Genomic DNA, 12,243 nt, shown 5'->3' on the forward strand with positions numbered 1-12,243 from the left:
CAGGAGAGTGCTTAATCCACAGTAGATATTTTGTCAGTTTTAGCTCTCTCCAGTCTCCTTAGGAACACTATGGCTTGTAGTGCTGAAACAGTTGCCATATTTTTCCAGTATCATCAAACTATTGATACAAGGCTGACTAGCCTGGCTTGCTTGCAAAGCCTGGCCCAGGCCACGGGCTAGCTGACTGTGGGAGGAAGCACTAGGTCGTCGGCAGCCCCGGCAATGCTCAGGTCTGAGTTCCCACTCTGTTCTCCACTCGCAGGTCGAGGTGAGACACATGCCTCTCCGACCCCCAGTTCCCTTGCAGGTAAAGTGGAAGCGCTAATGCTCTCTGTTTAATAGTGTTTTCGTGATGCTGAAATGAGGTACCTTTTAGGAAAGCACTTCCTAAACTTGAAAGGGATATGCAAATGCTCTTTATGAATCCTGTGTAATGAAAAGGCAGGGGGTTGCAGTTCCACTCAGCAAGTGGATGGAAACAGCTTTGAAATGGGTAGATGACTAATGCTAAGACTTCATCCCATTATAGTTGTTCATGCTAGAAATTTCCAGCTTTTACTCTCCATCATTGCATACTTGGTCTAAGTGATATGACCCAGCAAAGGGATCTCTGCTCTTCCTCAGCTTGCTCTCCGGGTCCATCTTGTTATCATGATGCACCATTAAAGAGGCACTCAATTTCAATATGAATATACAACAATATTTGTGTCCTTCATTACTACTAGAGAGAACTTTGAAGATGCTGAAAAGCCAGCTCCTAGGACAATATTATCTCTGAAGAAAACAATGACAAGTCTCACCACTGGAGGAAATATTCCCCGAGTTTAGAGCAGCAGTGATAAAAATGTGGCTCATTTCTGGCTCAGCATTTTTTTTCTGGTAGACACAACATAAAAATTAGTCGGTCGGACATGTTTGAGTGGACATCTGCTGTTTTTGCCTGCCCAGGGTCCTTTTGGGTAAAAGAATGCATCTCTTCCTTTTAGCTTCTCTTAGGACATTAGCTGTGGGTGGAGCCACTCCTTCTAGAACGGAGACTACAAGTTGCTGGCTTTTCAGATAGGTGTCAGACACCTGTAGAACAGACATACCTTCACTAGTAACAAAACATTCAAGTAGCTTAAACAATGATGGTGGCTTATAGGTCCATTTAACTGACACAATGTGGGGTTTCATGTACCATTTAATACGGGGCTGAAATGATAAAGGACCCAGTTTCTCTCAGTGCCTTGGCTCCATTCTTTCAGGGTTGGCCTGCCTCAGGAATGTCGCCTTTCACACTTGCCTGGTGGCTGTCAGTGGCTGTATCCTTCCTTACCGAAGGAAGGGGCTTGCTCCAGCACTGTCTTGATGCTCACTCCGCATGGACTGGCCAACACGCTGGAGTGGACATTTGCTGCTTTTGCCTGTCCAGGGTCCCTTATGAACTCATCTCTTCCTTTTAATGTCTCTGAGGACATTAGCTTTGGGTGGAACCATGCCTCTGGAATGGACACTACAGGTTTCTGGCTGCAGTAGGATGGCTTGCTGTAGGAGGATTGTAGGATCGCCATCAGCTCAATCCCTATGGTCAGCAGTGGAATGTGCCAGATGGCTCAGCTCAGGTCATGTTCTTCACCCCTGAAGTTGCAGGGGAAATTAGTGAGAGACCTAAAACACTGGTGAAGCAAAGGGGAGAATGGATATTTGGTAGGCAACCACATAAGGGTCCACTCAATCAGGTAAAAGACTATTTATTTATTTATTTATTTATTTATTTATTTGAGACACAGTCTCACTCTGCCACACAGGCTGGAGTGCAGTGGCATGATCTCGGCTCACTGCAACCTCTGCCTCCTGGATTCAAGCCATTCTCCTGCCTCAGCCTCCTGAGTAGCTGGGATTACAGGTGCACTTCACCATGCCCAGCTAAGTTTTTTTGTATTTTTAGTAGAGATGGGGTTTCACGGTATTTGCCAGGCTGGTCTTGAACTTTTGACCTCAGGTGACTCACCCGCCTCGGCCTCTCAAAGTGCTGGGATTACAGGCGTGAGCCACCCTGCCTAGCCAAAATATTTAATTTTGGCATGTAATAGTGATGGTGGTTTAGTTTTTCCTGTTTTTTCATTTTGTATGGATCTTTGGGGAGAAAGACTAGCAAAGGTAGGTGTACAATGGACACTCCCCTCTGCATTAAATAAAAATCAGACTCCTTTAAAGGGGATGTTTTCAGATTTTGAAATTTATCTTCTTATATGAAATTATACAATTCACCCACTCTATTTCAAGCACCCCACGTTCTGACGGAAAAAAAAAGCAGATGAAATGTCAAACACTTCCAGAAATATGAGGAAAACAGGAGAAAGAGCAATCATACAGATGACATAAGGGAAAAATGGGAATGTATAAATAATTTAAGTCATGACACTGTAAATGTGTATGTAATTTGACTTTAGCAAATATTTACCGTTGAACATGAAAACAAGTTTCTAGTCATAAAACCCTCTACTTGATTACACTTTCAGCTAGAGAAAAATCTAGAGAGAAGCCAAGCTACTTTCAAAGGTGCAGACATTAATTTATTAAACACTAGTCTTTTCTATTTTAATTTTCAATAACAAACATTTTTGCCTTTTACAATCTCTTCACATTTGCCATTTATCAAAGATCTTTACGTGGTTTAAAAGCACATCACAAACATTCGGGAGATCATGCATCTTCATTAACTCTGACCAGGTGTTTGCTATTGCCTACCCCACTCTTCTCAATGATGTCTTTGAAAGAGACAGTCCTACATTGGGTATTAAAAAGGTCAATCTTTCTAAATAATCAGAGCAAAATCTCTTTAGCCCTTTAAGGTTATCTGGGTTTGCAAACAGAAGAATACCACAAATCCATTTCCACTTCACAGGGATCTGAGTATGCATGCAAATGCACACACACAAAGAATGCTGTAGGACTCGAGTGTCAACCGCATCTTAGACTCCAAATATTACCCTGACTGGCCTGTGTGAGGTCTACATTCCACTGTAAAAGGGCCATTCACATGAATTTTGGCACTGCAAAGTTAGTGAACTAAAACTGAGAAAATGTGTAATTATTCAATGCCTCCCAATAACCAGCCAAGCTCGAAGAAATGGTAGGATTTGATAGAGAGCACCAAGATTCGAAGAGTTGTAAACAAGGCTTGTGAGGCAGAGTGGCAAGAAGGAGTGGCCAAAGGCCAAGTCATTGTTCGCATACTAGAAAGCGGAGTATAAATAAAAGACTCCCAACTGCCCCGTATAAGCCAATATAGGTAAGTAAAAATGCTTTGTAAATATTATTAATAGTAGAAAACAACTGATGTGATGTTCAAGGATTAAACCTTCAAAATACCCAGTTTCTTAAAGAAAATTAAACTTTCTTCTAGGTTTCCTTTTCTTTATGTCACAGGAATTTGAATATAGTTTAATCGGAGAAATACTTAATATTAACATCCTATTGTAAAAGTAGAATAGCGTTCTAATTAAAACATTGCTTCAACGGGTTTTTCCTAATGGAAAGAACTAGAGTTTACTTACAGCTAAACCTTCACCAACATAAGAGAAATATTCACCAATTTTCAATGAACATTTTGTAAAGTATGTATAGGAAACCAAGGATTTATAAGGATACACTTATAGTTTCGTTACTATCATTTATTTCTGTATCATGCACAAAAACAATTCCATTAATACATTTATTGTATTATCCATTTCAGTACTTATGCTAATACAGTCATTTTAATTTGGATATTTGAAATTTAGAATAGATTCATTGCTGTTAGTGCACTATCTGAAGAGAATTCTAGGTTACTTATTTGTAATTAGGATCCAGACAAATGCCCATGTTTCTAAACACCACACAAAAACTAGCACAAGTGGCAGAGACTGATCATACTTCCTGTCTTCAAAAGACAATGATCAATACAAAAAGTCAATGTGAACCATAGGTTTTTGCTTTTCACCTTGCCTGAACAAATTTCACAAATTCAAGAAAGATCCTTGAGCTTTAAGCAGTCTTCACTCTTTGGGGAAAGGCAAAGGATAGCAGCTCCTTTGTGGTAAGGACATGAGGCAGTTGTCAGAAGACCTGGGCTAAAACCCTGGCTCAACCCAAGTGCCCCTGTGACCTTACTTGACCTCCTTGATTCTACAAATTAGTTTGATCTAAATTCTCCCCAATGCTAATCTGCAGTTCACAACTCCTGTGATTCTCAGGAAGGAAGGTGTGATGCTGGAAGAGCATACTGGATTATACTAGTGATTCTCAAAGTGTGGCTCTGCAGCATCACCACCTGGGAATTTGCAAGGAATGCACATTCTTGGACCTCCACCCCAGGTCTACATAATCAGCAATCTGTGTCTTCAGAAGATTCTGATGCACATTACAACGTGAGAACCAGTGGACTAGACCAAAACCACATTTAAGAGATTCAAAGTTCCAAATGCAAGGTAAAGGAAATAAATCTAAACTCCATCATCAGACTCAGTTTATCAGATCCCATCACTGCTGCACAACGTAGATCATTAATTTTTAGGACTATAGCATTGAAGACATCTAAGCCATAATTTAAATACTGAATAACCGAGAAAAAAAATGAGGCCACAGAAGCAAAAATAAGGGCAATTTTAGCTACTAATAGCCAATAAAAGTTAATTATATTTCTAACTAGGAAAGTTAGGATTTTATTTTAATTTTTTTGTTTTTATTTTTTGAGACAGTCTTGCTTTGTCGCCCCAGCTGGAGTGCAGCGGCTTGATCTCGGCTCACTGCTGCAACCTCTGCCTCCCAGGTTCAAGTGAGTCTCATGCCTCAGCCACCCAAGTAGCTAGGATTACAGGCGCATGCCACCATGCCTGGCTAATTTTTGTATTTTTCGTGGAGGTGGAGTTTCACCATGTTGGCCATGCTGATCTTGAACTCCTCACCTCAAGTGATCCACCCGCCTCGGCCTCTCAGAGTGCTGGGATTACAGGCATGAGCCTCTGCACCCAGCCCTAAATTTTTTTTTATATTTTCAAAGCTATTTATTGTTTATGAAAAAATCATTTCCTAACTATAAAGAATTTCTCCTTCAATCTTGTGAATATTTAATAAAAAGCTTTATTCAGGCTCATAATGTATGCTAAAGTACTTCATTAATATAAAATATTATAATACGTAGTTAGGAGTTTTTACACTAACATAATAAATGGAAATATTTGAGTCATTCTGCACATTATAGTAACTGTAGTTACTTTTAATTTCTAATTTTGTAAAAGCCAAAAACAAATTCATATACAGCCAGCCCTCCATATCTATAGGTTCCATATCCACAGATTAAGTCAATCTCAGGTAGAAAATATTCAATAAATAATAAACAATTTTTAAAAACGCAAATTTAAAAAACTGCCAGGCATAGTGGTGAGTACCTGTAGTCCTAGCTACTTGCGACGCTGAGGTGGGAGGATTGTGTAGGCCCAGGAGTTCGAGACCAGCCTGGTCAAAGTGTCCCATTGTGAGTCCTCGTCTCTTAAAACACACACACACACTATACAATAAAACTATTTACAGAGCATTTATATTTATATTGTATTAGGTATTATAAGTAATCTAGAGATGATTTAAAGCATACAGGAGGATGTCCATAGGTTAAATGCAAATACTACTCCATTTTATATCAGAGACTTCAGCATCTGTGGATTTGGGTAACTGTGGGGGGTCCTGGAATCAATCCAAGAATACCAAGGAACAACTAACTGTATGGACATGGTGGCTCCATAATCTACTCTCTGAAGAAGTATAACTATAATAAAACATGTAATTGTTTTATACATAAAATATACAAAACATAAAATAATTGTTTATAATTATAAATAATTAAATAAATGATTACTTTCCTTCCTAAATTATCCTGATCTTTCCTAAATTTGGTTACTACACTAAGAGGACTAGTTCAACTTCACAGTCTATTTGATCTTTGTTTTCTGAGATTAGTAAGAATTAGGCTAGGGAAAAAGACCCCTTTTTCAATTGCTCCATACTACATTTTTAAACATGGCTCCCCAAACATCAGAAAGAATCTACACTGTTAATGAAATACTTTACATATTAAAAAGAAAAATCATTGATTTGGACCATGCAAAATTCTGAAATACATCTCTATCATTCCAATTATAACAGGTTAAAAACACTATAGGAAAAAGTGAGGAAGATATGTGCCAAAACCTAAGCACCTGAATCCTGGCGAAAATCTGCAATGAGGTATCTTTTGGAGGTTGTTTTATTATATCAGAAACTTAGTTCTTAAAACACTTATCCAAAGTCAATGGATTTGCTTTATTTTATTTAAAAATAAAGTCATTCTTGCAGCAAGAGGGCTAAAACCCAGGTAGGTTTCATTACAAGAAAGGATTTAGCCAGGCACGGTGGCGCACGCCTGTAATCCCAGCACTTTGGGAGGCCAAGGCGGGTGGATCACGAGGTCAAGAGATCGAGACCATCCTGGCCAACGTGGTGAAACCCTGTCTCTACTAAAAATACAAAAATAAGCTGGGCGTGGTGACGGGTGCCCGTAATCCCAGCTACTTGGGAGGCTGAGGGAGGAGAATCGCTTGAACCCGGGAGGCAGAGGTTGCAGTGAGCCGAGATTGCGCCACTGCACTCCAGCCTGGGTGACAGAGTGAGACTCCGTCTCAAAACAAAAACAAACATACAAACAAACAAACAAAAAAAGGGTTTAAATGTACTGCAGTCATCTAGGACTCTGATACCAGCGTCAGCATGCCCTAAGTCCATTCACTTCAGTAAGTCTAATAACACAGCACAGCTCGAGATGCTGAATAAGCTCAATAGACAAATGCACACTTAACATCAGATCATCTCCTCACTGCATTTTTCAAGCTTCTTAACAAACTGTTCAACTGCAGTGATATACTTTAGGTGTATCCGTGAGGCACAGTATTAGAGAAATGGGCTGTTCAGATATATCTCTTATGATAGGTGTGGGTATACCTCTATCATAACAAAATCTAACAGTAGTATATTCGGCTTTTTTTTTTTTTTTAAATTGAGACAGAGTCTCGTTCTGTCACCCAGGCTGGAGTGCAATGGCACTATCTCAGCTCACTGCAACCTCCGCCTCCTGGGTTCAAGTGATTCTCCTGCCTCAGACTCCTGAGTAGTTGGGATTACAGAAACCCACCACCATGCCTGGTTAATTTTTGTATTTTTAGTAGAGACAGGGTTTCACCATGTTGACCAGGCTCAAACTCCTGACCTCAAGTGACCCACCCACCTCAGCCTCCCAAAGTGCTGGGATTACAGGCATGAGCCACCATGCCCAGCCAACTTTCTTAAAAACAACTTTTTATCACTGTGTCCAATTCTGGGTTTTTATCACATTCTCACAAAGTTCTATACATCAAATAATCTGAGCTGGTTAAAGAAGATGACAAAATGAATGCAACATTTAATACAGTTTTTATTTGTTTAATTTGGTAAATGTAGAATGTAATGGTTTCAAGGCAAACCCTGGACTACTTCAGTCACAACCCAATAGTTAACATGATTCTGAAGAACAGTCTTATCTGCAATATCTACCCACTTCTAAACAAACACATCTATAGAAATCCATGTACATATATATTAGTTTTCAACAAGTCAGGATTTTCAACAACTCTAAAATTTCAATTTTATATTCTGAACACACTTCAAAATTATCCACTTGATGCAGGATATAACCATAGGGAGATAAAAATTCATGCAATGATACTCAGGTTTTTTTTTTAAAGGTAAATCCAATATTTGATCATTCAATGCTACATAAAGTGCATTGAATATCGAAAATAAAACAAGCGCCAATTTTATCATTAATTAATAACACATTTATTATCTTGAAACCAAACTGGCCCAAGTTACTTTTTGTCTTTTTGAGTCAGCTCTGTATAAACTCATTTCTCTCAAGCTTCCTGGGAAATAAAAACCAAGATATTTCATTTATTCTTTGCAGTTAACAAGAGATGGCAGCGGGCTCAAGGTAGGTATGTTCTTGATAATTCAGAGTCAGAAAGTACTTCTTCTTGAGCAGAAGGTTCATAATCTCCTACATTTTCAGCCAACTCAATATCTAACTCATCATTACTTTCTGCACTGTAATCAACTTCTTCAAGGAATCGAGGTTCATCTTCATCCAAGACATAAGTGGTAGGGCTGCAGCCAAAACACACAGAACATACAAGACTTTGTGAGGTCTTAAGGTCCTAATATAAGATTATTTCACCATACTGGACTAACTTTGATTCCAATATAATATAAGCTGCATTAACTTTAAAAATCTTATCCAAATGAACAAGTTGAAATTTATAATAGGTGAAAGTTCCTTGTATTGACAATAAGCAGTGAAATGTGAATCATTAATTGTATTACAAGAGTATCAATATATATCCTAAAATTAGATAGATAGCTTAAAAAACAGTGAACTCTCTCATCAGGTTATTTCTTTGAATGATTTCATCAATTTGCAGGCTAAGATTTATTTTTTAATTCTACTAAAATCACTGTGTATCAGGCAAATATAATTTCAATAGTCCTTACAAGAAACTGTGAGCATTTAATTGGCTTCTCGAGTAATGCACTAAAACCACTCACTCTAAGTCTATAAAGTGATTAGCTGCCATAAAAACAGCCCATATACCCACCCCACCAGTTTCCGTAGGTCAAGAATAAAACTGAAAAACAAGTGAACACTCTACACCCAGATTAATTACTTTCCCTAAGGACACAGAATAAGACATTTGCTTAAAAGCACTAAGTGCTTCTAAATATTTCATGAAGTAGGTTGTTTGGGACTGAGACAACTTTTCTACTAGGTTCTGTAATGTATTCTTTCCTAGAAAAATACCACATTATTCTGATTTCTCCCCATTTGTGAGATTTACACCCCCCCACACAAAATATCAAATAAACACTACAGAAACATTTTAGAATCTCTAAGGTAGTGACCAAAACTACCCTAATTTCATATAGATGTATGTTTGTTTATTTCCCACCTGCTACCAAAAAGGATTTCCTATAACTGATGCAATTAAAACCTATAAAATCAGACAATGAAAAAGGAACAATATCTGTTAAAATAAGAGAGAAGCAGATGTCATTAGTCACCTAAAATGAGAGAATTCCTGCAACTGAGTATGAAATTCAGTCCAGATATCTGGAAGTTAAGGTGGGATGGGAAAGTTAATAGATTATATGGCTCTAATTTTCTGAGAAGTTTGCAAGACTCATCCAGCAAGAGTACCTTTTTCCTATACTTGCTTTAATCTTGCTCATTAAAGGGAAAAATGCATTGCAAAACCACCTTGATCTAATGTAGCAAACTTCCTCTTAAAAGTTCAGAGCTTGCAATATGATAGAGTAGTCCAAATAAATCAAGCTGAGTGGCTTGGAGGATTGTGTGAGACTTCACAACATACCTAACACTCAGGAGAACAATTTCACAGTTTTTAATTTGCAACTAAAATATTTAGTATGAATCTGTTAGGTCATTAGAGAAACAAGTTAGATTAAAAGAAATGATTATTTGGCTTTGGTTTTTTTTTGTTTTTGTTTTTGTTTTTTGAGACAGAGTCTTTCTCTGTTGCCCAGGCTGGAGTGCAGTGGTGTGATCTCGACACACTGCAACCTCTGCCTCCGGGTTCAAGCAATTCTCCTGCCTCAGCCTCCTGACTAGCTGGGACTACAGGCCCCCACCACCATGCCTGGCTAATTTTTATATTTTTAGTAGAGACGAGGTTTCACCATGTTGGCCAGGCTGGTCTCTAACTTCTGACCTCAAGTGATCCGCCTGCCTTGGCCTCCCAAAGTGCTGGGATTACAGGTGTGAGCCACCACACCCGACCTTATTTGGCCCTTTAAAATGACTTACCATGTTTCTTTTGAAATATAATAATTCATTCTTCCTCCTTGAGTTTGTATTTCAAATTCTCAGAGGAGTCCCAGGTGATTCTTAGAATAAATGGAAAACTAACTGAAGCAAAGAAAGGGAAAAGAGGGAAGGGAGAAAAGACAAATCTTCTCTTGCCACATACTTATTTTCTTCCTGGAGACAGTCATAACAAGAAGATATGATAATGGAAATGCAAGGAAGAGACAGATACTAAAAAGTTATGCACTGTGCCAGCACAGGGTCTGGGGAAACCACCCAGAACTACAGAGGCTGCTTACAGATAGACAAGAAGTGGCCAGTGTCTCCCATCAGGTAGGAAGAACACAAAATCCATGTGTTGGGTAGCTGGGCAGGGAAGCACGCATCGTTCAAGAGATCTATGGACAGCGGAATTCCAGCCCACCTTTCCCCCTATCTGAAAACAAACTTGGCATAAGTGAAACTGGTTGCTGGGAGCCCAGCCACTGCACTGGGATCAGAGTAAGGATCTCATTCTCCATGGGAAACTGAATATTGCAGAGTTAATCAATTTGAACAAAAGGAAAGGGTTTACAGAAAAAGCCTAGTCTTATAAGCTGAAGTCAATGAGGAAACAGAATGAGAGAAGTATGATTTAGGAGCAAGAAGGATGCCCAGGATAGAGCTAAATAAGTTTAGCTTCCTTGACAGGAAGGAATCTTAGAGCAATGTTGGTATCAGGTGTTGATGTGCACTTTTAAGACAAAGTAGCACAACCTGGAAGGCAAGTACCTGGAAAATAAAAGAAGCATCTTCACAAGAAATGCTTAGGAAAATAATCTGATCCTGTCAGTTCTTGATCTTGGCTCATTTATCATGTTGACTATGAGAAGAACTCCATTCATTTCTTGAAATCACCCATTCTAGTAAGAGTATGGAGCTGGTCCACTCCTCTGATTCCACTCCTATAACCCACAATGGCCCTAACATTTGACTCTTGTTTCTCCAGGTCCTAATAAGATCATGTTCCTAGCCACAGCTTCATTAAGGTCTACATTGGAGCTGAAGTATACAGCACACATCGAGCTATTGTGATGGGCCCACCAGTGCTAGCTCGGGCACATTAGTCAGGCTGAGTGTGCAAAGAGGAGTAAGTTAGCGGTGCAAAGAGGTATACACAAGTGTGTACAAGAGTTTGTGAGTGTGTGTGTGTGTGAGAGAGAGAGAGAGAGAGAGAGAAAGATATCAGGGGATCTGGAAGGAGCTAGGGGAATAAATACTGAGACAGGGGAAAGAGAAAAACAGAAGATTACATCCCCCAACATTCCACTAAAACCAGCATTCAGACTGCTATTCCAATCACCATTTTCCAGTCCATTTTTACTAGCTCTCTCCACTGTGCTTCCTGGTGGTGAAAATTCTGATACCCTTCTATTCTAGTTTGCTTAATTCCTTTCTGTCCCTTCTCAATGGTAATCATGTGCTCCTCATCCTCTATGCATTCCTCAAACCTAGGCACTGTATTTATAAAAATGCTTTCTTAGCCAACAGCTCTTATAAGCATGCCCTCTTTGAACAAGTTCATCTATTTTCTGTATTCTCATTATTTCCAAATCCAAATTTCTAGCCCCAACTTCTCCATGGAACTTCCGTACATGCATGGACTTGCCAGATATAGTCCCATGACCGTCTCACGTGCACCTCAAATGTAGCATCTGGAAAACTCACCGTTCTCCCCACCAAGCCCAATCCTCTTCCAGTATGCTCGGTAACATTCACTCCGTGAGTCATGCAAACCAAAGTTCGCTACAAGCAAGTCCTGCCACTCAATATCCTGACCACTCCATGCCTCACATTTCATACTGCAAGCCTTCACCAGCACTGTTTCCTCTGCATAAGGTATTGATAGGGTTTGGATGTGTGGCCACTCCAAATCTCATGTTGAAATGTAATGCCCAGTGTCAGAGGTGGGGCCTGGTGGGAGGTGTTTGGGTCATGAATGGCTTGGTGTCTCTCACAGTAATGAGTTTTCACTCTGTGTTCATGCGAGATCTGGTTGTTTAAAAGAGTGTGGCACTTCCCCCTCTCGCCATGTGACATGTCTGCTCCCGCTATGCCTTCCACGAGTAAAAGCTCCCTGAGACCTTCCCAAAAGCCAAGCAGACGGTGGCACCATGCTTCCTGTACAGCCTGCAGAACCACCAGCCAATTAAACCTCTTTTCTTCATAAATTACCCGGTCTCAGTTTATAAGTACCCAGTTGCTATAAAGGAATACCTTTATAATGGACAAATACAGGTATACTTCACATCTTTCTTCCCCTAAATACTCTTTAGTTTTTCAAAACACAGCTCAGT

General features: G+C 39.5%; 1 protein-coding gene across 20 annotated transcripts in view; it reads right to left on the minus strand.

The window, feature by feature from the left end:
- Positions 1–7,445: 7,445 nt before the first annotated feature.
- Positions 7,446–12,243, minus strand: part of AGTPBP1 (ATP/GTP binding carboxypeptidase 1) — a 258,945-nt gene continuing 254,147 nt past the window's right edge. For all 20 annotated transcript variants that reach the window (XM_047423094.1, XM_047423090.1, XM_047423089.1 and 17 more), the window contains one exon: positions 7,446–8,193. In XM_047423094.1, coding sequence (XP_047279050.1) covers positions 8,016–8,193 — 178 coding nt within the window. In that variant the 3' untranslated portion in view covers positions 7,446–8,015. The remainder of the gene's footprint in view (positions 8,194–12,243) is intronic.

This window comes from Homo sapiens, chromosome 9 (genome assembly GCF_000001405.40).
Source record: "Homo sapiens chromosome 9, GRCh38.p14 Primary Assembly".
NCBI classification, from domain to species: Eukaryota; Metazoa; Chordata; class Mammalia; order Primates; family Hominidae; genus Homo; species Homo sapiens.